The sequence below is a fragment of the Homo sapiens genome, chromosome 21, assembly GCF_000001405.40.
Source record: "Homo sapiens chromosome 21, GRCh38.p14 Primary Assembly".
Classification (NCBI taxonomy): Eukaryota; Metazoa; Chordata; class Mammalia; order Primates; family Hominidae; genus Homo; species Homo sapiens.
This window is the reverse complement of record NC_000021.9, coordinates 42,696,842-42,722,891: the sequence shown is the minus strand read 5'-3', so window position 1 is coordinate 42,722,891 and position 26,050 is coordinate 42,696,842. Positions and strand designations below refer to the sequence as shown.

The 26,050-nt window shown below is 46.1% G+C and overlaps 1 protein-coding gene across 24 annotated transcripts in view, besides 3 other annotated features; it reads right to left on the bottom strand.

The window, feature by feature from the left end:
* PDE9A (phosphodiesterase 9A) overlaps positions 1-26,050 on the bottom strand; it is a 121,889-nt gene that overhangs the window by 52,618 nt on the left and 43,221 nt on the right. For 16 of the 24 annotated variants that reach the window (NM_002606.3, NM_001001567.2, XM_017028366.2 and 13 more), the window contains one exon: positions 23,881-23,924. The exons of 5 other annotated variants lie outside the window; for them this stretch is intronic. In NM_002606.3, the coding sequence (NP_002597.1) occupies positions 23,881-23,924 (44 nt within the window). Of the gene's footprint in view, positions 1-23,880; positions 23,925-25,401; positions 25,478-26,050 lie in introns of all 24 variants that reach the window. 3 more of the 24 variants (NM_001315533.2, NM_001001570.2, XM_011529598.3) reach the window with 1 other exon arrangement.
* Positions 15,516-16,016: an enhancer, noted in NCBI's record as "H3K4me1 hESC enhancer chr21:44126986-44127486 (GRCh37/hg19 assembly coordinates)". NCBI's record gives its function as "activates a minimal SCP1, AML or CMV promoter by ChIP-STARR-seq in naive H9 embryonic stem cells {active_cell/tissue: H9 hESC(naive)}" and the evidence as "EXISTENCE:reporter gene assay evidence [ECO:0000049][PMID:30033119]".
* Positions 19,178-20,057: an enhancer, noted in NCBI's record as "H3K4me1 hESC enhancer chr21:44122945-44123824 (GRCh37/hg19 assembly coordinates)". NCBI's record gives its function as "activates a minimal SCP1, AML or CMV promoter by ChIP-STARR-seq in primed H9 embryonic stem cells {active_cell/tissue: H9 hESC(primed)}" and the evidence as "EXISTENCE:reporter gene assay evidence [ECO:0000049][PMID:30033119]".
* Positions 19,662-19,811: a silencer, noted in NCBI's record as "fragment chr21:44123191-44123340 (GRCh37/hg19 assembly coordinates)". NCBI's record gives its function as "represses an EF-1alpha promoter that drives an FKBP-Casp9 reporter gene in an ReSE screen in K562 erythroleukemia cells {active_cell/tissue: K562}" and the evidence as "EXISTENCE:reporter gene assay evidence [ECO:0000049][PMID:32094911]".

The window sequence follows — 26,050 nt, the reverse complement described above, 5'->3', positions numbered from 1 at the left end:
GGCAAATCCTGAGTCTACCCAGTGCAGAATGACATGAAATTTGATTTCACTGATTGCTAGCACAGCCTGACCCATAATTCTGATTCTAAAAATTAGTGTAACAATAAGTTAATTTGATTGGCCAGCCAGCTGATTTGCCTATCTCCTTTTTATCTTGTGCTGAAGAGAATACTAGCAGCAACAGCAGTTCTTCCGTCCTCCACGCACCTGAGCTGATGGGAATGTGTACTTTTCTCCCCTAGGCAAACGAATGCACACATGGCCCTAGCAATAGAACATGCTGGCCCCTAGACCCATGCATTGAGGGAGGTGACCTAGGAACATCAGCTTGGGCACTAGCATCCCAAGCACCGACCTGCAAGAGTAGAGGGAATAATACATCACAAGGGCGTGTGTGTGTGGCCTGGGAGCTCATGCACGATCCATTCTATTGCCCTTGATCGTAGCCATTGCACGGCATCACTGGGCTTAGATTTGCATGCTATTAATATGATGCAATGAGCCATGTTTCACCTTGTTAGTCCCAACCCAGAGCAACAGGGCGAGGTGCTGAGCACCCTCCGGTGAATACATACTTAGCAGACACTTCTCAAGTATTAGAAAAAATACCTCTGCTGGACGGGCATGGTGGCTCACGCCTGTAATCTCAGCACTTCTGGAGGCTGAGGTGGGCGGATCATGAGGTCAGAAGTTCAAGACCATCCTGGCCAACATGGTGAAACTCCGTCTCTACTAAAAATACAAAAAAATTAGCTGGGCATGGTGGTACGTGCCTGTAATCCCAGCTACTCGGGAGGCTGAGGCAGGAGAATCACTTGAACCAGGGAGTCGGAGGTTGCAGTGAGCTGAGATTGTGCCACTGCACTCCAGCCTGGTGACAGAGCAAGATTCCATCTCAAAAAAAAAAAAGAAAAGAAAAATACCTCTGCTATCCTTTCAGAAAAGGGTAAAAGGGGTCTCTTATTTTTTATTTTTGCATTAGGGAAAATAATTCACATTACTTGCCCCCAAAGAGATAAGCACTCTAGACGTCCGGAAGATTGTGGGGGGTGGGAGCAGGGTGCCTTTATTTCTGCTCTTGTCCAACCTCCAACCCCTGAGAGCCAAGGCTCTTTGGAGGAAGGGCTGGAAGGCTTCCCTGTCAGCGAGGGGTGGGGTGGCACTGTCTCTCTTCCTGGGAAGCAAACTCATCTTCTGTCCCACTTTTGCTCTCTCCTGACCCCTGCAACTGCCCTTGAACTATTCAACTGGCTGAGGATGTTCTCACTCAGGGTACAGTCACTGGCAATTCACTGTTTATGGACATCATAAAACAGACATTCAGATCAAGGACGACATTTCCTTTATAGCCCAGGAACACAATAAAGTTACATGATTAACAGTGACCTTAAAGGCACAGGAGCCCTTCCTCTGGCCTGTCCTGCCTGCCAAGGGATTGCATAAGTCTATCAGCAGCCAAAGGACTATCCCAGATCACTGGCGTTTCAGCCACTCAGATATGACGAAGAAAGGAAAATCAACCGAAGACCCTGGTGGCCAAACGTGAAGTTCTAGAGAGTGTCTGCCTTGTCATTTCAGGTTCACCTCAGGGGCAGGCATTGAATCGAGTTTTTTCCCTTTCATTTTCAGAGAGGGGAATTTCACATTTTGTATCGTTTACATTTGACTGGGTGCAATTTCTCCCCCTGCCCTCCTCTCTTCCTTAGGATTAGTTTGCAGGCAGAAAAATGCCTGTGAAGCTGGCAGCATCTGGGGCAGCTAGCATGCATTTCCCTTTACTGTTGTATAGATCAAGGTACTGTAACATCTGCAAGGAGCTGTTACTATGCTCTGGGTGCTGTTCTAGGTGGTTCATGCATGTTAGCTCTATCCTTCTTTTTTTTTTTGAGACGGAGTTTCGCTCTTGTTACCCAGGCTGGAATGCAATGGCGAAATCTCAGCTCACTGCAACCTCCGCCTCCCGGGTTCAAGCAATTCTCCTGCCTCAGCCTCCCGAGCAGCTGGGTTAACAGACATGCACCACCACGCCGGGCTAATTTTGTATTTTTAGTAGACATGGGGTTTCTCCACGTTGGCCAGGCTGGTCTCGAACTCCCGACCTCAGGTGATCCGCCCACCTCGGCCTCCCAAAGTGCTGGGATTACAGGTATGAGCCACTGTGCCTGGCCAGCTCAATCCTCCTTATAACCTGCAGGGGCTGCGTGACACTGAGAGAGGCCAAGTCATGACATCGTCAAGCCCGACCTGCCCTACTCCACCATGTTCCTATTTAGAGCTGCAAAGACGGGACAGAGCTGCACTTACTTTCCCTTCAGAAAACCCCAGAGATACCTATTTTATTTTTCTTTCTGTGTGGCTTCTTGCCCGTAGTGGGGTGAACTTATTTATTTATTTATTGAGATGGAGTTTTGCTCTTGTTGCCCAGGCTGGAGTGCAATGGCATGATCTCGGCTCACCGCAACCTCCGCCTCCCAGGTTCAAGCGATTCTCCTGCCTCAGCCTCCCGAGTAGCTGGGATTACAGGCATGCGTGACCATGCCCGGCTAATTTTTGTATTTTTAGTAGAGACGGGGTTTCTCCATGTTGGTCAGGCTGGTCTCGAACTCCCAACCTCAGGTGATCCGCCCGCCTTGGCCTCCCAAAGTGCTGGGATTACAGGCGTGAGTCACTGCGCCTGGCGGAGGGGTAAACTTCTAAGGGAGGGTGTGGGTACGAATAACCGAACGGATGCCGCTGGGGGAATTTGAATTTGGGAGCCACCAGCTGGTTGTACACGCTGCTGGGACTTTGTCCATTATCTGACAGCCTGTGTGTGTGTCACTGTAACCTGATAATCCTCTGGGAAAGTTTAATTATGTGAAGCCAAAGGAAATCAACTCTGGCTCATCGTGTCTGAGGCTTTGACTCTATGCCAAATGACCCCATAGACTAGTTCCAGGAAGGATTCTGTCAGGCAATTCGGTGATCCAATAAACTAATTGATTATGGTACAAATGACAGAATGTTTGTAAAGATTGAGTCATTTTTGCAAACCAAAGCTTTTATTCCATCTGTGGACTTTAACAGGTTGTACACAGCAGCAACATTTGTAGCAAGAGAAATTAAGAAGAACCATCTGATCGCTGTAAAAACAAGACTGGAAGCAACACAAGTATCTATCAGTAGGATACACAATAGTACATCTACAAAATGAAGTACTATGCTCCTATAAAAGAACGAAGGAATATTTCTTTTTTTTTTTTTTTTTTTTTTGAGACAGACTCTCACTCTGTCACCCAGGCTGGAGGGCAGTGGCGCCATCTCGGCTCACTGCAACCTCTGGCTCCCAGGTTCAAGGGATTCTCCTGCCTCAGCTCCTGAGTAGCTGGGATTACAGGTATGCACCACCACACCCGGCTAATTTTTTCAAAATTTTTTTTAGAAGAGACAGGATTTCACCATGTTGGCCAGGCTGGTTTCAAACTCCTGACCTCAGTTGATCCACCCACCTCGGCCTCCCAAAGTGCTGAGATGTCAGGTGTGAGCCACTGTACTTGGCCTAGAATGGAATAATATTCTATTTCTTGCTATAAAGTGCCCTTATAATGTAGATGGCTAAAACTTAAGCAGAAAGTTCCAGGTTGAAGCGTCAGATGACACAGTTTTAGGTTGTCAGAGAGGATGGAAATGGAAAGGAGAGTTCCCAAAGGAGGAAGCCATGGCAGTGGGACCCAAATTCTGTATAAACTACCCTGTTCCTTGGTGGATCCCTGAATGACGCATGTTTGTGGGCCTAGTGTGGCAGAGGTTTCAGCTCCTGCTGTGGAGGAGACAAAGTTTGGAGTTTAAATGTAGTCGAGTTAGAGAGGCTTGATAAATACCTCAGGCTTCCTACTAAAACCACAGAAGGGTCAGTCTAGAGATCTACCCCAACAAAGCATAAAACCAGGCTGCACGAAGTTCAGATGATCAGTGAGTAACGGAACTGACTGCTGGAGCAAAATTAACACTCTTCAGAGGATGATAACAAAATCCAATGTCTCTCCTAGGTGTTATTCATAATCTTAGTCTACAATAAAAAATAGACATGCAAAGAAATAGGAAAATGTGACCCATGGCCAAGAGAAAATCATCCCTCAGACACCCTGGACGCTTGCCGGCTCAGATGCCAAAATGAGCAAACGAGACTTTAATGCAGCAATTGCAGGTACGTGCAAACACCGAAACAAAAGCGGCGTCAGTAAATCGTAAACAGAGGGGAGTCTCGAGAGACAAATCTATGAACAAGAGTCAAGTGCAAATTTTAGAATTTTAAAATATAATATCCTAAACAAAAAAAAACTTCATGGATCAACTTACAGAAGTCTGGAGTCAGTGGAAGAGTCAGGGAAATCAAGGACAGGTCAACAGAAATTACCCAATTTGAAGGGCAAAGAAAAAAAAGATTATAAAAAACCGCAAAGCTGCAGTCACTTGAAAGACAACAGCAAACTTTCTAACATACAGGTCATTAGTGAGAAAGAATGGCACATATAACACGTAATGGCTGACAATTTTGCAAATTTGCTGAAAAGGTAAATTCATAGTCCATGGAAGCTCAATGAACATGAAGAAGGATAAATAAGAAGAAAATGAGACTGAAGCACATCATAGTCCAACTGCTGAAACCTAAAGATAAAGGAAAGAAATCAACAGCTTGAAAACAGCCAGAGGCCTGGGCACAGTGGCTCACGCCTGTAATCCTAGCACTTTGGGAGCCCGAGGTGGGTGGATCACCTGAGGTCAAGAGTTCGAGACCAGCCTGGCCAACATGGTGAAATCCTGTCTCTACTAAAAATTAGTTGGGCGTGGTGGCGGGCACCTGCAATCCCAGCTACTTGGAGGCTGAGGCAGGAGAATCAGGAGGCGGAGGTTGCAGTGAGCCGAGATCGCACCACTGCACTCTAGCCTGGGCAACAGAGCAAAAACTTCATCTCAAAAACAAAACAAAACAAACAAACAAACAAACAAACCCCAAAGAAAGCAGCCAGAGAAGAAAGACACACTTCATACAGAGGAATAATGATCAAATTAAGCTGACTTCTCATCAGAAACAATGGAGGCCAGAAAGAAAGTGAGTCAACATCTTTAAGCTTCTTGAAGAAAACAAACTGTGAATGCAGAATTCCACACCATGAAAACTCATCCTTCACAATGAAGGCAAAATAAAGGCATGTTCCTTGCCTGGGCACGGTGGTTCACGCCTGTAATCCCAGCACTTTGGGAGGCCGAGGTGGGTGGATCACCTGAGGTCAGGAGTTCGAGACCAACCTGGCCAACATGGTGAAACCTCGTCTCTACTAAAAATACAAAAAAATTTTTTTTTTTTTGAGATGGAGTCTCACTCTCTTGCCCAGGCTGGAGTGCAGTAGTGAGATCTCAGTTCACTGCAACCTCCACCTCCTGGGTGGAGTGCCTGGGTGGGCATGGTGGTGGGCGCCTGTAATCCCAGGTACTTGGGAGGCTGAGGCAGGAGAATTGCTTGAACCTAGGAGGCGGAGGTTGCAGTGAACTGATTGTACACTCCAACCTGGGCGACAGAGCAAGACATCATTTCAAAAAAAAAAAAAAAAAAAAAAGGCATGTTCCAATCAGCAAAAGCTGAGAGAATTAGTTACTAGCAGATATGCACTGCAAGAAACATTAAAAGAAAAAAGAAATGCTTTAGAGTGAAGGGATATAATATAAGTTGGAAGTTGAGAAGAAATAAAAACATCAGAAATGGCAAATATATAGGCAACTATTAAAAAACTATCTGGAAGTTTATTTTCATAATTTCTTCAGAAAACAACTAGCTGTTTAAATAAGAAATTATAGGCCAGGCACAGTGGCCTATAATCACGCCTATAATCCCAGCACTTTGGGAGGCTGAGGCGGGTGGATCACTTGAGGTCAGGAGTTCGAGACCAGTCTGACCAAGATGATGAAACCCCGTCTCTACTAAAAATACAAAAAATTAGCCGGGCGTGGCGGCACACATCTGTAATCCCAGCTACTCGGGAGGCTGAGGCAGGAGAATCGCTTGAACCTAGGAGGTGGAGGTTGCAGTGAGCTGAGATCTCACTACTGCACTCCAGCCTGGGCAAGAGAGTGAGACTCCGTCTCAAAAAAAAAAAAAAAAAAAAAGGAAATTATAATATTGTATTATGGGGCTTAAAATGTATGCAGATATAAAACATATGACACAATAACTCAAAGGTGGTGGGAGAGGGGAGTAAGTAGACTTATATAGCTGCAGTGTCCTTATTTTTTATGTGAGGCGGTACAGTATTAATTCTAAATAGATTGTGAAAAGTTCAGGATGATTAAAAGTGGCCAAAAGATATGAACAGACACCTCAAAGAAGACATGCAGATGGCAAGCAGGCATATGAGAAGATGCTTATCATGATATGTCACTAGGGAATTGCAAAATAAAACAAGAAGAAGATACTGCAATACACCTATCAGAGTGGTGAAAATCCAAGACACTGAAACACAAAAGCTGGGGAGGATGTGGAGCGGCAGGAATGCTCGTTCATTGCTGCTGGGAATGCAAAATGGCCCAGTCACTTTGGAAGACCGTTTGGCAGCTTCTTACAAAACTAAACATGCTGTTACCAAAAGATCCAGCAATTGTGCTTCTTGGTATTTATCCAAATGTGTTAAAATCTTATGTGCACACAAAAACTTGTGCACAAATATTTATGGCAGCTTTATTCATAACTGCCCAAACCTGGAAGCAACCAAGATGCTCTTCAATAGGTGAGTGGGCAAATAAACTGTGATACATACAGACCATGGAATATGCTTCAATGCTAAGATGCCGGGAAAAGGCATAAAAGAATCTTAAAGACATATTAGTAAGTGAAAGAAAACCTGAAGAGGCTTTATTCTGTATGACTCCAACTATGTGACATTCTGGAAAAGGCCAAACTATGGAGACAGTAAAAAGATCTGGGGCTTGGGGCGGGAGGGATGAATAGGTGGCGCACAGGGGGTTTTGAAGGCAGTGAACCGATTCTGTCTGAGACTGGGATGGGACACACAGGTCATCATATATTTGTCCAAACCCAGGGAATGTACAGCCCTGAGAGAACCGATTCTGTCTGAGACTGGGATGGGACACACAGGTCATCATATATTTGTCCAAACCCAGGGAATGTACAGCCCTGAGAGTGAATTCTGAGGTGGAATATAGACTTTGGCTGATAAGGATATGTCAATGTTGGTTCACTGATTGTAACCAATGTACAGTCTTTTTTTTTTCTTTTGTCTGGAGACAGAGTCTCTCTCTGTCGCCCAGGCTGGAGTGCAGTGATGCAATCTCAGCTCACTGCAACCTCCGCCTTCCGGATTCAAGCGATTCCCCTGCCAAGTAGTTGGCATTACAGGTGTGCGCCATGACGCCTGGCTAATTTTTATATTTTTAGTAGAGACAGGGTTTCACCATGTTGGCCAGTCTGGTCTTGAACTCCTGACCTCCAGTGATCTGCCTGCCTTGGCCTCTCAAAGTGCTGTGATTACAGGCGTGAGCCAGTGCGCCCGGCTGTAACCAATATACAATCTGATGCAGGACGTTGACGGTGGCAGAGGCTGAATGTCTGTGTGTGGGGGGAACATGTGGGAGCTCCACACTTTTCACTCAATTTTGCCGTGAATCTAAAAAACAAAGTCTATCAATTGTAAAAAAAAAAAAAAAAAAAAGTAAAGATGCATATTGTAACACTTACAACAGCCGAGGAAAAATAATGCAAAAAGAGACAGCTAAAGAGTCAGCAGAAGGAATAAAATGGAAAACAAAAATTTATTCAATTAACACAGGAGAAGGCAGAAAAGGAGGAACAGAAAAACAAAACCCAAGATCAAGAAACAGCAAATAGCAACGTGGTAGAGCTAACCCCAACCATATGAACAAAGGCTGGTAGAGCTAACCCCAACCATATGAACAAAGACAGGTAGAGCTAACCCCAACCATATCAACAAAGACTGGTAGAGCTAACCTCAACCATATCAACAAAGACTGGTAGAGCTAACCCCAACCATATGAACAAAGACTGGTAGAGCTAACCCCAACCATATCAACAAAGACTGGGAGAGCTAACCCCAACCATATCAACAAAGACTGGTAGAGCTAACCTCAACCATATCAACAAAGACTGGTAGAGCTAACCCCAACCATATGAACAAAGACTGGTAGAGCTAACCCCAACCATATCAACAAAGACTGGGAGAGCTAATCAACAAAGACTGGTAGAGCTAACCCCAACCATATCAACAAAGACTGGTAGAGCTAACCCCAACCATATCAACAAAGACTGGTAGAGCTAACCCCAACCATATCGACAAAGACTGGTAGAGCTAACCTCAACCATATCAATAAAGACTGGTAGAGCTAACCCCAACCATATGAACAAAGACTGGTAGAGCCAACCCCAACCATATGAACAAAGACTGGGAGAGCTAACCCCAACCATATCAACAAAGACTTGGGGGCTCTGCTCACCATCTGGGTGCGACACACCACATAACAAACCTGCATGTGATACGTTTAGATCTGTACGTAAAATAAAAGTTGGGGCTGGGCGTGGTGGCTCACACCTGTAATCCCAGCACTTTGGGAGGTCAAGGCAGGTGGATCATGAGGTCAGGAGAGCGAGACCATCCTGGCTAATGCAGTGAAACCCCATCTCTACTAAAAATACAAACGTTAGCCAGGCACGGTGGTGGGCGCCTGTAGTCCCAGCTACTTGGGAGGCTGAGGCAGGAGAATGGCGTGAACCCGGGAGGTGGAGCTTGCAGTGAGCCAAGATTGCACCACTGCACTCCAGCCTGGGCGACAAAGTGAGACTCCATCTCAAAAAAAAAAAAAAAAAAAATTGGAATGAAAAAAAAAGTTTTAACAAATTGACAAAAATTAGATACATTTCCCATGGTCATGCACTCCAGCCTGGGCAACAAAGCGAGACTCCACCTCAAAAAAAAAAAAATTGGAATTAAAAAAAAAGTTTTAACAAATTGACAAAAATTAGATACATTTCCCATGGTCAAGATGATGTTTTGAAATATATACATTGTAGAATGGCTAAATCAAGTGAATTAACATACACATTATGCCACATAGTTTTTTTTTGTGGTGAGAATGCAAAATGTACTCTCAGTGATTTTCAAGAATAAAATACATTGTTATTAACTATTAAAAAGACACACACAAAAAACCCAAATACATTAAGTGTAAAGGGACATAGGACAAAATAATACCAAAATTACATAAAATCTTTCAGAAAATACAGAAGAAAGTAAACTTCCCAATGTGTTTTATGAGGCCACTATAGGGCCAATATCAAAACATGACAAAGACACTGCAAGAAAAAAAATTACAAATCAATATCCCATTTAAGCATAGACAGCCACATTCTTAACGAATTGTTAGGAAATCAAATCTAGCAATACATGAAAAGCGGCCAGGTGCTGTGGCTCACGCCTGTAATCCCAGCACTTTGGGAGGCTGAGGCGGGTGGATCACCTGAGGTCAGGAGTTCGAGACCACCCTGACCAACATGGTGAAACCCTGTCTCTACTAAAAATACAAAAATTATCTGGTGTGGTGGTGCACACCTGTAATCCCAGCTACCCGGGAGGCTGAGGCAGGAGAATCACTTGAAGCCTGGAGGCGGAGGTTGCAGTGAGCCGAGATGGCAGCACTGCACTCCAGCCTGGGTGACAGAGCGACACTGTCTCAAAACAAAAACAAAAACAAAAACAAGTCAATACATAAAAAGCAAACACACCAGGGAGAGGGCCTACATATACTTTGTTACATTTATTCCCAAGTATTTTCCTGGAAATATTTCCTGGAAATACAAGTGAGTTTACCCCAGGAAATTTCCTAGGAACATTTCCTGGAAATATAAGTGCATTTACCCTAGGAAAGCAAAGTGGTTTTAACATTTGAAAATCAATCAGTATTATTCATTATCTTAATAGAATAAAGCAGAAAAACCATATGTATGCTCATCCCATAGATGCAGAAAGGTACTGGAACAAAATCCAATACCTCTTTATGGGACAAAACCATTAGAAAACAAGGAAAAAGAGGACACCTCCTCAACCCACCTCAGTAGCTGTAGAGAGAACATTTGATAAAAGTTAACAAAGAATTTTGTCAAAGAACATGAGACAAAAAACTCTCAGAAAACTAACATTAGACGGGGACTTCCAACCTTATGAAAGGCATCCACAAAAAAATCTGTGGCTAACATCGTATGTAATGGTGAGAGACCGAAGGCATCTCCTCTAAGATTGGGAACAAGGCGAGGACGTCTGCTCTCACTTTTATTTAACTGTATTGCAGTTTCAACTAGTACAACAAGACAAGTAAAAGAAATAAAAGCCAAAAATTGGAATGCAATAATTAAAACTGTCATTATTCTTAGATGTCATGATTGTCTCTGTGGACAATTATAGGAACCTATAAAACAACAACTAGAACTAACCAATGAATTAAGCAAATTCACAGGATCCAACGCCAACATCCAAAAATCTATTATATTTTTATAAACTAGCAGCAAACAATTGGAAAATTAATGAAATCTTATTCACAATAAAACCAGAAAACAGAAAACACTTTGGAGTAAAGTTAACCGAAGACATGAAGGACCTTTATCTTGAAAGCCATAACCTTTTGAGAAGTTAAATGAGACCTAAATAAGTGGAGGGATGTATCATGTTCATGGGTTGGAAGACTCAGTATGGTTAAGACACTACCCTCCCCAAATTATATAGTAAATAAAATAGTAATCAAAGTCATAGATGGCTTTTTTTTTTGAAATTGACAAGTTGATCCTAAAATTTGTAGGGAAAAGAAAAGAACCTATACAGTCAAAACAAATGCAGAGGAAGAACACATGGAGAACTTAGAGTACCTGATTCCAGGGCACAGTAACGTAGCCAGTGTGGTGTTGGTGTGAGGATAGACAAATAGATCAATGAAGCAGAACAGAGTTCAGCGAGAGGCCCAAACACAGAGATACCATTAACTTTCAACAAAGGAGCCATGGATTCAGCGGGAAAAGGAGTCTTTTTAACAAGTGGTGCAGTAACAGCTGGGTGTCAGCGTGGGGAAGAAAATGAATGGCAGTCTCTACTTCACAACACACACAACATTAACTTGAAATGAATGACAGATTAAAACATAACATCTCAACAGATTGGGTTGTTAAAAATTTTCTTTAAATTAAGAAAAAACATAACAGCTATAACTCTAAATCTTCTAAAATGTATCTCCATGACCTTGGGATAAAAAAAATTATTAGGGCCAGGCATGGTGGCTCACTCCTGTAATCCTAGCAATTTGGGGGGCCTGGTGCGGTGGCTCAGCACTTTGGGAGGCCGAGGTGGGTGGATCATGAGGTCAGGAGTTCAAGACCAGCCTGGCCAACATGGTGAAACCCCATCTCTACTAAAAATACAAAAAAATTAGCCAGGCGTGGTGGCAAACGCCTGTAATCCTAGTTACTCGGGAGCCTGAGGCAGGAGAATCACTTGAACCCGGGAGGCGGAGGTTGCAGTGAGCTTATCGCACAGCTGCACCCCAGCCTGGGCAACAAGAAACCTTGTCTCAAAAAAAAAAAAAAACAAAACTTATTAGAGAAGACACAAGAAGTACTGACCACAACAGAAAAACTTGTTACATTGGATGGAATTCACCAAATTAAAAACCTCTGCTCATCAAATGACCTCATTAAGAAAACGAAAAAGGCAAATCACAAATTGGGAAAAATGTTTGCCACATATATCTGACAAATGAATTATATCCTAGCTTATGTAGAGTTTCCTACAAACCAGTGACAAAAATAATACAAGCCAGCTTAAAAAATGAGCAAAATCCTTTTTACATATTTTTTTTGAGATGCAGCTTTTGCTCTGTCACCCAGGCTGGAGTGCAAGGCGCGATCTCAGCTTACTGCAACATCCACCTCCTGGGTTCAAGCGATTCTCCTGCCTCAGCCTCTCGAGTACCTGGGATTACAGGCACCTGCCACCACACCCAGCTAATTTTTGTATTTTTAGTAGAGAGGAGGTTTCACCATGTTGGTCAGGCTGGTCTCGAACTCTTGACCGCAGGTAATCCACCCACCTTGGCCTTCCAAAGAGCTAGGATTACAGGCGTGAGCCACCGGACCTGGCCTGAGCAAAGTATTGTTGAACAGACACTACACAAAATATGACATTCAAATAGTCAATAAGACATAGCAACATGTTCAACATCATTAAGTTACTTGGAAATGCAAATTAAAACTATAAGAAGATAGGATTGCTCTTACACCTACTCGAATGTCTAAAATGTAAGCAGAGAATGCTTAGTGTTGCAGGGATGTGGAACAGCTGGATCACTCAGATGCTGCTGGTGGGAATGTGGAATGGTACAACCTCTTGGTAGAACAGCTTGGCAGTTTCTTTTTTTCTTTCTTTTTTTTTTTTTTTTGAGATGGAGTCTCGCTCTGTCGCCCAGACTGGAGTGCAGTGGCGCAACCTCTGCTCACTGCAACCTCCTCCTCCCAGGTTCAAGAGATTCTCCTGCCTCAGCCTCCTGAGTAGCTGGGACTACAGGCACACACCACCACACCCTGCTAATTTTTTGCACTTTTTGTAGAGATGGGGTTTTGCCATGTTGGCCAGGCTGGTCTCGAACTCCTGACCTCAAGTGATCCGCCCGCCTCGGCCTCCCAAAGTGCTGGGATTACAGGCGTGAGCCACTGTGCCCGGCCCAGCTTGGCAGTTTCTTACACTTAACAAGTAAGTCTTAAGTTAAACAAACACAGCATATGAGCCAGCCATTTAACTCCTAGGTGGACCCAAGATCATGGACAAGGATGCCCACAATAAGACTTGTACAATAATTCTAGTAGCCGAACCCTAAACTGGAAATGACCCAAATGTCCCTCCACAGAAGAATGAATGAGCGAGGCATGCAGTGCTCAGCAGTGCAAAAGGAAATAACTGCACGAATGGATCTTACAAACATCATGATGCGGATTGCTTTAGCCCAGGAGTTCGACACCAGCGTGGGCAACATGTCTCTACTCGGAGGCTGAGGTGGGAGGATCACCTGAGCCCAGGAGGTCGAGGCTGCAGTGAGCCATGATTGTGCCTCACACCCCAGCCTGGGCAACAGGCGTGAGACCCTGTCTCAAAAAACAAACGCACACACACACAAACAAACAAACAAAAATGATGTTGAGTGAAAGAGTCCAGACACAAAGAGCTCGTGCTGTATGATTTCAACTCCGTGAAACTCAAAAATAGGCAGAGCACTCCACAGTGAGGACTGCCTTGAAGGGGGTACGGGGACATTTTTCTAGGGTGATGGAAATGTCCTCTGTCTTGATTGTGGTGGCGGTTACATGCACGTGCACTTTTAAAAAATTTAATTTAATTTTAAGTTCTGGGATACATGTGCAGGACATGCAGGGATGTTACACAGGTAAACGTGTGTCATGGTGGTTTGCTGCACCTGTCAACCCATCACCTAGGTATTAAGCCCAGCATGCATTAGCTATTTATCCTGATGCTCTCCCTCCCCCAACCCTCCCAACAGGCCCCAGTGTGTGTTATTCCCCTCCCTGTGTCCATGTGTTCTCATTGTCCAGCTCCCACTTATAAGTGAGAACATGTGGTGTTTGGTTTTCTGTTCCTGCATTAATTTGCTGAGGATAATGGCTTCCAGCTCTGTCTATGTCACTGCAAAGGACATGATCTTGTTCCTTTTTATGGCTGCATAGTATTCCATGGTGTATATGTACCACATTTTCTTTATCCAATCTATCATTGATGGGCATTTGGATTGATACTATCTCTTTGCTATTGTGAATAGTGCTACAATGAACATACATGTAGATATATCTTTATAATAGAATGATTTATATTCCTTTGGGTATATATATAAACGTCATTGCTGGGTCAAATGGTATTTCTGGTTTGGGTGGTGATTCCTGAAAGATCTAACACATGCACTTCTATCAAAACTCATCAAACTGTGGCTGGGCACAGTGGCTCATGCCTGTAATCCCAGCACTTTGGGAGGCTGAGGCAGGTGGATCACCTGAGGTCAGGAGTTCGAGATCAGCCTGGCCAACATGGTGAAACCTTGTCTCTACTAAAAATACAAAAAATTAGCTGGGCATGGTGGCATGCGCCTGTAATCTCAGCTACACGGGAGGCTGAGGCAGGATAATTGCTTGAACCCAGGAGGCAGAAGTTGCAGTGAGCCGAGATCGCGCCACTGCACTCCAGCCTCGGCAACAAGAGCGAAACTCCTCAAAAACAAAAACAACAAAAAACAAAACAAAACTCATCAAACTGCACCCACAGGATCTGTGCATTTCAGTGCAGTCAGGCAGGACACAGCAGTGGGTGGGTATGGGTTGGCCTGGTTCTCACAAATGCCTAGGAGCAGGGAGGGCAGTCCTAACGTTTGCAGTCTTGAGGTCCGTGCAGCAATGTTCAGCTGTCATCATCTCCATTTTACTCAAATCTGCCGTCAGGACACTTCCATTCCGCAGGCTTCCGTATTACTGTTTGCCATCAATATCTCTGACAGTGGCACGCTAAGGGCTGCTGCTGTCTTTGTTGGCTAGGCTACTCTAAGGGGAATCCGTCTGAACACACCATTCCAGAAATGGTTATTTTTCATTTATACACTGCAGTCTTTTTGTTTCAAAAAAATGCAAGTAAGGATGACTGTGGCTTTGCTTATAAAGCCTTCTAGACTGAAATTGCACTGAAATAGACAATATTATTAAGGAGCATTATTATTTCTCATGAGCAACATGTCTATGCGCAGACATCCAGCATTAACTTGGCTTCCAGGGCAGACACAGCCAGTCCTCCGCCTTTTGTTTTAGACCTTAGGAAGCATTCCTGTTCTATTAAAATTCAGCAATTCCAGAGAGACATAACTTTAGCCATTCAAAAATGCCCCCTAAGTCATTTTCAATGATAACAACCATTTACTGGGCGCTTACCAAGTGGCAGGCACTGTGCTCAGCATTTTGCATAAATTACTTCATTTATCCTCCAAGAACCATGCAAGGTATGCATTAGAATTCCTATTTTGTCAGGGAAATGGAAGTTCAGTGGGGTTAAGTAGCTCTCCTAAGGCTATTTCATCCAAATGACAAATGAGTATGCCAGGGGGCTTGACCTGTCTTGGAGTCTAAGGTTCTTAGTTGGAAATCCTCAAAAGCCCACCGGAGACAAGGAGCTGGGGGCTAGTGGTGCATTTGGAGGCCAGCCCAGGAAGCCCTGGGAGGGAGTGGGGGATTGAGGCATGGAAGGGAAGAGAGCTCCCAGAGGGTGAGTTGATGTACAGGTGACTCCTCGCTCTGAGCTCCCTTTGAGCAACTGCATTGATGATGTCAGAGATTGGTCCCACTGTGGAGCAAAGAAGCTGGGCACCTGTCCTTCAGCTCCCTTTCACTGGGGAGGACTGACCTCGGGGCAGCCGCGTATGCCACACACAGAGGAAGTCCTCAGGTAGGGGGACTCAGGGGTTGGAGGAGGCACCCATTAGTGGGTAAGGGACCTCCCACCCAGGCTGCAGGGACCTCCTGGACAGGCCAGCCTGGCACACCCGCAGCATCCGGTATCCTCTGCTGTGAACTTTCAGCACTTCTCTCAGGCCCTCCCCTTCAAGACGGCTAGACTTTAAAAAAATTTTTAATATCTCATTTAATCCAATGTACCTCAAAATACCTCATTTCACCATGTATCTTTCATACAAAAATTTGCACACAAACGTTTGCAGCAGCATCATTCACAAGAGCCTTTGTGGAAACAGCCCAAATGTCCATCAGCTGATGAACGGATCAACCAAACGTGACGTAGCCACGTGACACAGCCACACAATGCAGCCACAGGACGCAGCCACGCAACGGAACGTCATCCAGCCATAAAGGAACAAAGAGCTGTCATATGCCACAACGCGGGGAGCCTGCAACACCGTGTGCAAAGTGGAAGAAGCCAGGCTGGAAAGGCCACGGATTCTGTTATGTGAAAGGTCAGAATGCACAGGACAGAGAACAGGGCCTGCCAGGGGCTGGGGGGTGAAGGGGATGGAGGGGGGACTGCTCACAGGTACAGGGATTCTTTTTGGGTTGATGGAAATGTTCTGGAATTAAATAGTGGTGATGGTTGCACAACAAAATGAAGACACTAAAAAAGACTGAGGTTGTACAATTTTTTTTTTTTTGAGATAGAGTCTCACTGTGTCACCCAGGCTAGAGTGCAGTGGTGTGATCTCGGCTTGCTGCAACCTCTACCCCCAGGTTCAAGCGATTCTCCTGCCTCAGCCTTCCAAGTAGCTAGGATTACAGATGTGCACCACCACACCCGGCTAATTTTTGTATTTTTAGTAGAGACAGGGTTTCACCATGTTGGCCAGTCTGGTCTCAAACTCCTGACCTCAGGTGATCTGCCCGCCTCAGCCTCCCAGAGTGCTGGGATTACAGGCGTGAGCCACCATGCCTGGCTGAGGTTGTACACTTTAAAATGGTGGGCTTTATGTTATATCAATGACATCTCAACCAGGAAACATGAAATCAATATAAAAATGACTGAGATTTTTATATTCTTTTTCATACTAAGCCTTCAGAATTTGCTGTGTGTTCTACAGTTACAGCGCATCTGCATCTGGACTGCGGCTGGACTGTAAATGCATTTGGTCACCACCTGGGGGAACTCTCATGTGGGGGCAGCTCCGGGGTTCCATGGCTGCCCCCAAAACCTCTCCACATGCATGTTGTGGGGCACAGCCAGCCAGCCTGCCCACCCTGCCGGCCGCCGGCCTCCTCTGGCTTGCAGAAGCTCAAGCACGCACTCTGCGGATGCGCCTCCTTATGGCCCCCTTTTATTGTCCTTCTATGGAAACAGCAACGCCAATAAAGCTGCTGGGAACTGGAAGCCTCCGAGTCACCCTCGGTCTCTGGCCAGGGGAGTAGAATGTGGTGTGGGTCTCCGCGGGGGCCAGATGCAGAGGCTGAACAGGGTGTGTGTGACTAGAGACAGGTCCTGGGTCCTAGGGCAGGCAGGAATGTGGGGGAGAACAAGCAGAACCAGACCCCTACAGCACTGTCCTAGTTGAAGAGGCTGTCATCACTTGGGTTAAGTGTGACAGCACGGTTCAACTGCTGCTGTGCCTAAGAAAATCGTGATGGCCCCTGGCTCTCCTATAGGACTTGGGCCGTGGGGGGCCGTCCTGGCGTGTGACTGCAGCACGCTTTCCCTAACGCTCTGGTCAAAAAGACACAATCCCCTTGATACGGTCATGAGATCACACGGACCCATGGACCCACGCGATCTGCCACGCTGAGGGAGGCCCTGTCCTTTTCCCGCGTGCTGTGATCACAGCACCCAATCCTCATCACAGGCATCTCCCCTGCCAGCTCCTGGCAGCCGAGGGCACTCGGGGGACACCCGTCAACCGCCATCAGCTGAGATCTGTGTTTTATAATCTGGAAAACAACACTCTTTGAGTTTGAGCGGCTTACATCAAATAAAAGTGATTGAGGCTCAAGGATTTTCCAAAAAATCAGCACTATCGTTATAAAAAGATGCTGAGAAGCCTGTGTCGTGGTTTTTGTAGTTGCTATTACCTTTATTTTAGTCACAAAAGGGATAAATGCTCTATCCATTTGATTCCCTCCCATGATCAGGCGAAGAGAGCATTTTTCTACAGAAGATGCTTGGTGAACACAGACCTTCGCGTGGACGGGGCCATTCCTTCTACTCTACGCTGGAGAACGAGGCTGTGCCATGCTCTTTCCTGGCAGGAGCTGTTCACCGCTCCAGAGAAGTCTCTGCAGCTCACACTGGGGTTGTGGACCCAGGCCAGGGCTGGCCTATTCTCCCTTTTCTATGAAAAGTCACGTTTTTGATAATACTCTTCTCTTTACTATTTCCTGAATATTTAAGTAGCAAAACAGCAAAACCCTGGGGTGTTTCTGCATTGCACAGTTCCACCGGGCCCGTTAGAGGCATTTACTGAAACCTGCTGAGAATCAGTGAGGAACCCAGGGCCTTGGGAAAGGCTGGGTGTGGGGCTGTGTGGCGTTGGCCTCCCTGCACCCTGCCCCCACCCCCCACCCCCTGAGCCTTGTGCTAGTCTAGAAACAGCTCCCATTTCCTTTTCTGCCACTGGAAATGTGGTCTGTTGATTCACAAGGGCACCTGGGGTTGCTTACAGGCCAGAACTCAGGGCGGCGTCGCTAGAGCTAACTCCTGACCTTGGGCCACGGCTCAGTGGCTCTGGGACCCAAGGCCGATGGACGGGAGAGGGAAGGTTGTTGCCATAGAGAGAGTGAAGAATTCCTAAGGACAAACCCCAAATGGAAAAAATGTTCTGTAAACACATTTCTCAGGAAAGCTGTGTGTGTGTGTGTGTGTGTGTGTGTGTGTGTGTGTTTGGTGGGGTGGGGGGGGTCTACCTGACACCGACTTTGTCTCCTAAAGAAAAGCCTGGAACACTGGCCTATTTGGAGAGCGGGGTCCCCACGCACCCAGAGGCGGGGAAAGGTGGTGTTAGCCCAGCCAGGATGTGACTATGGAGATGTGGGAGGGGTTGTCGCTGCTAGGAAAATGCAGCTCCCCTGGACAGCCAGCGACTCCTCACTGCGGAATAAGCGCAGCGCTCCTCGGCTGGCCCGGAGGGACACCCAGCCTGGCCTTCCGTGTGGCCGCTCATCCTCTCTGAAGAGGGAAGTCTTGCCCAGCCCAGCAGAAGTGTGTGCAGCTCTCAACAAACACCTGAAGCACCTGTCTCGTACCAGCCTCGTGCTGCCGTGAGGGCTGGCGGGAGCCTGGGCCCTGACCACCTTCTCGAGATCACAGCCTGGGCCGAATGCTCCTGAACCAACCCCAGCCCTCTGTAGAGACGGTGCAGAGCCTGGCGGTGCAGCACTGTTTCCTGCTTTTTCTCATCCTGGCACCTTTAGCAGAAATGCCCCTTATTGTTCTTTTACTCAAAACTTTACGATGCGAAGTTTAATGTGAGCCTTTGTGTTTCTCAGGATGGATTATTTTTCAAGCCTCTTTGTGGCTCCTAGGATCCAAGTTGCAGGAGGGCTGCAGAGGGCAACGATCTCTCAGCCACTGGGTGCCCGCACAGCCCAAGGCCAGCAGCCTTTGCCGGAGTCCTCCAGGGAGGAGCAGCTCCGGCCTTAGGACAGCTGGTTCCAACTTCCTTCCATTCACCTCTTTCCCTCAATGAGCCCAACTCCATCTCCCACTGGTCCTGGATGGGTCCCCAGGTGACACAGAAATCCCTCTTTCCTCTGCTCCCAGCGATGCTCTTCTAACTCTGAGCACAGCCATCTCGCCTGTCTTCGCTGGCCTGCGAGAGCCCTGCAGCACCTCACCCACACCCGGCCAGCCTTTGCCTCTTCCTGCCTCCAGGGCTTTATGGCTTCCCCTCTGCTCCCGATGGTGTCCTGTCACCAGCGTCCTTCTCCCACGGATGGGTTCGGTCTCCGTCCGGCTCAGGCCTGGCCCCTCCTGCTGGTGCTCACTCACTCCCTGCTGGCCTCACCAAGTCCCAGACTTCAACACCATCCATTGGGAGCCGACAGCCGAGAGGCCGCCTGCCCTGACTCTGCCTGCTCCTCATGCACCTGATGTCTGATGAGCAGACCAAGCCCACCCGCAGCAACCCCCTCCCTGGGCCGTGGCGCTCAGTGCTCAGGTCAAAGAAGCCCCGGATGGGTCTCTATATCCCGCTTCCACTTAGGAAAAAGCTTGTCTCTTCCTTTAGAACCTGCTGGAACCTGCGCTCCTCATCACCTCCATGGCCCCCACCCCGGCCTAGGCCTCCGCCTCCTCCCAAAAAAATAGCTTCCTCTTGGATTTCTCTGCCTCCACCTTTGCTGCCACTTCCCTTTCGTGATCTCGACCCAGCGCCCTGAGCAAGATTTAAAACACAAATGTGATGATGTCACTCCTCTCCTGAAAGCCTTCTAATAGCTGCCCACGCCACTCAGCATAAAAGCCAGCATCCTTGCAACGACCTTCAAGGCCCTGGCGCTTTCATTCTCATCTCCAAACATTTGCACTCTAAACAGCCAGAGTGGAATTTGGTGATCAGCCAGGAGTTTGGGGGAGACCCCAAAGGGATCAAGTCTTAGTAGGACTGAGCTATCCCTGGGGTAAGGGCCCTCTAGAGCCATTCTCACAAAGCTTAAAGGTGGGGCTCAAAGGCATCAAACTGATGTGCAAGTAACTTAACTGCTTGCCAAGGCAAAGCCCAACACTCTTAACTGGGAGAAACAAAACCAGATGATGAACCAGCGTGCATTCCTGTGATCAGCATTCCATCAAGATCTACTAGATTCACGAGAATCAGAAAAATATGACCCATACCCAGGAGATAAATCAATCAACAGAGACAGACTCGGATATGGCAGAGAGGAGGAAACCAGCAGACAATGGCATGAAACAGAATTATAATGAGGTATAAGCATTTACAGGAAATATAAACATAATGAGGCATAAATGGGAGATGTAAAAATGGGAGATACGAAAAAGGAGGGAAACATAATTCCTAGGGATGAAGAATGCAATATCTGAAATGAAAATTTCACTGAACGAGATTAACAGCAGACTAGATACTGCAGGAGGGAAGACCAGTGCAATGGAAGACGTCACGGAAAAGTCTAAGAAAAATAAAGCAAACAGAAAAAAAGGTCTGGAAAGAAAGAAACAGTGTGAGTGAGTCAGGGGACGCTCTCAGGCTGTCTATCATTCAGGTAGTTAGGGTCCCAGGGGAAAGGAGAGAGACAGAGGAGAGCAGAAAAAATTCCAAATTTCATGAAAAATATGATCCCAAAGTTCCAAGAAGATCAATGAACACCAAGCAGGTTAAACCAAAAGAAAACCACACCAAGGCCATCATAATCAAATTCCTGCAAACCAGTGATAAAGAAAACATCTTAAGTTGCCAGAGGGAAAAAGACACATTGCACACAGAGGAACAAAGATAAGACATCACAGACTTCTCATTAGAAGCTGTACTAGCTAAAACACAATGAGAAGACATATTCACAGTGCTGGAAAACTGTGAAACTAAAATTCTCTATGGCAAGAAAATACCCTTTCAAAATGAAGATGAAATAAAAACACTGTCAGTCGGGCATGGTGGCTCACGTCTGTAATCTCAGGGAGGGAGGATTACTTGAGTTTAGGAGTTTGAGACCAGCCTGGGCAATACTGTAAGACCTTGTCCCTATAAAAACTTAAAAAATTCGCCGGGCATGGTGGTGTGTGCCTATAGTCCCAGCTACTTGGGAGGCTGAGGAGGGAGGATTGCTTCAGCCTAGGAGGTCAAGGCTGTCGTGAGCTATGACCGCATCACTGCACTCCAGCCTGGGCAACAGACAAAGACTTTATCTCTCTCTCTCTTTGAAAAAAAAAAAAGCAAAACAGCAAAGAAAAGCTTTTTCAGACAAAAGCAGAAGGAATTTGTTGTCAGAAGACCAGCACTATAAGAAAATCATCTATAGAATCACAGGAAATCTGCAAAAAGGTACTAGACCTAATAAATGAGTTTAGCAAGGTCCCATACAGAAGCCAATTCCTATAAACTAAAAACTACCGGAAATTGAAATGAAAAAAAAGTCCATTTGCAGTACCATTAAATACATGAAATAGTGATGTATTTATCAGTATTTATTAAGTACTTCATATTAACAATGGTAACACATTATTGAGAAACATTAAAGGAAACCCAAATGAATGGGGAGATAGACCATATTTATGAACCAGAAGACTCAACATTCTTAAGATATTAATTCTTCCCACATTGGTCTGTATATTTAATGCAACTTCAGTCAAAATCCTAGCAGACTGTTTTTTTGGAAGCAATTCATAGACTGATTCTAAAATTTATTTGAAAATAAAAGCAATAACATTTTTGAAAAAGAAAAAAGAAACCAGAGATAACTTAGAGTACCTGATTTCAAGACCTACTATTTATCTACGGTAGTCAAGATGGTGTGCTGTTGTTTTAAGACATGTAAATTCACACGACAGGATCTGGAGTCCAGAAAAAGACTCACACATACATGGCCCATCGATTTTCCACAAAGGTGTCATGGTAATTCAGTGGGAGAAAAGATCATCTTTTCAACAAATGGTGCTGGAGAAATGAATATCTGTGTAGAGAAAACGAACCTCGGTTTTTCTCTCCTGTGTTTGGGTGGGCTGGACTTCGTGACTTGCTTTCAAAGAAGAGCAGGGAAGGAGATCAACAGTAACTCTGCAGTGGAGAAGCTCGTGGTCCTACCTGGCTGTCATGCGCCCCACGTATTCCTTCCAAAACCCACCACACCCAGGCTGGTCGTGAGAGAAACGTCAGACAAACCCAGACTGGGGAACACTCTACAGACTCTTATATCCACTCTTAGGGAAGACGGTTAAGTATATGTTTAACTGTATAAAAAAGTTGGCAAGGTTATAGGTATCATAGGTATTTAGCCAAGTGAAATGAAATATATAAAAATATACGTTTCCACCAATACTTGTACTTTAATGCTCACAGCAGCCTTATTCTTAAAAGCCCCCAGACTGGTAACAACCCAAATGTCCATCCACAGTGAATGGAAGACGCCCTGTGGTACAACCTACACCATGGGATACCACTTAGCAATACAAAGCATGAACTGTCTCTACACACAGCACATGGATGGATCTCAAAAACATTATGTTGAGTCAAAAAGAGTACATATACCATGTAATTTCTTATATATGAAACTCTCAAAAAGAAATCTCATGGATGATGTCAGAAAGCAGGTCCGTTGTGGACTGAGACACACTGGAGGGGGCAAGAGAGAGCTTTTCTAGGTGGTGCAAATGTCTTGATTTTGGTGATGGTTACAAGGGTGTACACATTTTTCAAAAGTCATCAAAATAGGCACTTAAATGGCATTTTATGATGTATAAATCACACATAAATAAAAGTGATAAAAATCAAATGGAAAAGGCATTCTAGGCTGGGTGCTGTGGCTCACGCCTGTAATCCTAGCACTTTGGGAGGCTAAGACAGGTGGATCACCTGAGGTCAGGAGTTCGAGACCAGCCTGGCTAACATGGCAAAATCCCGTCTCTACCAAAAATACAAAAAAAATTACCCAGGCTTGGTGGTGCACGCCTGTAATCCCAGCTACCTGGGAGGGTGAGGCAGGAGAATCACTTGAACTTGGGAGGCAGAGGTTGCAGTGAGCCGAGATCGTGCCACTGCATTCCAGCCCTGGGTGACAGGACCAGACTCCGTTTTTTTTTAAAAAAAAAAAAAGAAAAAGAAAAAGGATTGTAACACAGCGGCCCAAGTAACTGTATGAGGCACCCCAAGGCATCCCAGGGGCCACAAATGCCTGCCTTGGCAACTCACAGTGGAGCGGGGAGGACAGGTGCTGGGCCAGGAAGACCAGAGTGGATGCCGCCCTGCAACTGCAAAGTCCTTGGGATGGCCTCTGGCCGAGGGGCAGGGACAGACAGTGCAGCCAATGGAACGGCCATAGACCAGGAACAGGCAGTGGCCAAAAGGAGTAAGAAAAAATCCACACAAGGGAGGCTAACCCCAGGCAGATGCTATTCTCCCTGGGGTTAGAAAGGCAGAGCCCTTACAGTAGTACAAGGTTTCAGATTCTGCAGTTGTATCGGCTTCAAATGCAGATTCAAATGCTTAACTAACATATAGTTAAATGCTTCAAAGGTAACTCATATATATTTCAAATGCTTAGATTCAAATGCTTAACTAGTATATATTTTATCACAGGGGCAAGCTCAAGATTTCTTTTTCCTTCTTTTAGTTTAAAAAACGACAGCAGGGCCTTACCGGAGAGTTGCTTGATGGCCACAGGTCTCACTTTGTACGGAGTGCTGCAAAAGAGAAGACAGTGCCGCTGTGAGACTCTGCAAGGCGCTCGCTGTATGCCTGGCAGGAGAGATAAGCACTCGGCATGATTAGAAATCAGCGGATTAGGTGGTTCTTTTTATTTATTTTTATTTTTTAAATTAGCTTCTTTGACTGTTCTCAGCTTCCTTACTCAGATGAATTTCAAGTATATCATTTAAATGATCACCTTCCTCTATAATGTTCGTGTTTGGTCAATTAAATAAATGTTGTCATGGGTACTACTGCCGATCACAGGTGCTGTATCAAGTTGGAAATGTCAGACTCTGGCAGCTGCCTGGACCCATTTCAGCACCTGGCGGATGCAGGTGGCCTCCCTCTCTTTTGCTCTGTTGAGCTGATGGCGGCTGTATCCCCCAAATGAACAAGAGAGGATGGTGACAGTGATGAAGTCGAAAATGCACTGGGATCTCTGTGATGTCAACCCCCCTCCCCCCATCATCACGAGGCCCAGCGTGATGGGGAGAGAATACTGGCTGTGCAGACGACAGCCAAAACGTTTCTGTCGCTGACACACGACAGCCTCTGGCCAAGAGGCAGGGAAGGACAGTGCAGCCAATGGAACAGGCATAGACCAGGAGCAGTCAGTGGCCAAGAGGAGTAAGAAAAAATCCACACAAGTGAGGCTAACCCCAGGCAGATGCTATTCCTTGACCCAGCAGTTTAGCAACATTTGGAAACCTGGTAAGAGAGGTGCTACAAGGACACAGGGCGGCAGACATCACAGGTGTTGCTGGTGGGGTGTGGGTTGCCACATCTTGGGGAAAGCAGTGTAGAAACACCAGTTAAAATCCTTTGTCTCAGCAGATGAATTTAGGGAGGGATGTATCAGAATGAAACACAAGCACACAGGGAGACAGTCAGATGTCATGTGTTCATGTCTTTGACTTGCTCATTCATTCATTCACTCGCTCTACCCATTTCTTCCTGAGTGCCCACTGTGGTCAGGTGCAGGTGGGTTGAAAGAGCGTGCTCCACTGTGCTGTCTGGATGGGTCAGTCTGTGCATCTCTCCACAGGCAGGATGCCACATTAGTGGTCCCATGGTGCTGGGGTCTGAATGTTGAGGCACCCCCACCCCAAATTCATATAATGAAGCCCTCATCCCCAGTGGGTAAGATTAGGAGGTAGGGCCTTGGGAGGTGATTGGGTTTGGAGGAGTTCCTGAGGGTGGGGCCCATGGGATGGGGTTGGTGTCCTTACAAGGGCCAAAGACACCAGAGCTGTCTCTTGCTCTGCCTCATGAGGGCACAGCCAGAAGGCAGCTGTATGCAAGCCAGGAAGAGAGGCCTCCCCAGGAACAGAACCTGCCCACACCCTCATCTTGGATTTCAGCCTCCAGACTCTGAGAACTCAATGTCTAGCTGTTTAAGTTCAGACAGACTGAGACACTGCAGTGTCAGGTAGTTGTTAAGAAGATGAAGACAAACATGCAAGTATTCACCTGGTGGGACGCCCATGACTCCTTACTAGGTAAAAACAACAAGTTACGGAGTGATGTATAGAGAATGAGCTCATTCCTGGAAGAAGAAACACAGTGAATATGGAGGGGTATACACACCAAGCTGTTCATGGTGATTAACTGGGGGCAATACATGTGGTTTGATGGTTACAGGTAACGTGGAAAATCTTTACAATTTTAAACACCAATAATGTGAAAAAATAAAACCTGTGTGGCACTGACCTCCCTGCACTTTGGGCCCTTTGTCTGTAGGGCGGTGAGGCTGAGGTTCTCGGGAGAGCCGGGCACTGTGGACTTGCCAGCTGAGCCCAAGTGCTGGGGACTAGAGGGCCCTCTGTCCCCTTGATTCTCCCCTCACCCTATGAATGACCTCACTCACACAGAATGTCAAGAAGTGAGCCCACACCCTCTCATCTCCCACCACGTGCCTGCGTGGGCTCAGGAGAGGCCCTGCCTCAAAAGGCCTTTTAGTGGTGGGTCATTTGGCACTGGAGGGCTCATTTCTCCCCAGAGACTTGGTCATAAGAGGCACTGGGCTTGAAGCGTGGCCCTAAGTGCAGAGCAAAGTCCTCCAAGCTCCCCAGGTGGAGAGGGCACTCGGTCGTCATCGGGACTAGGGCCCCTCTAGCCC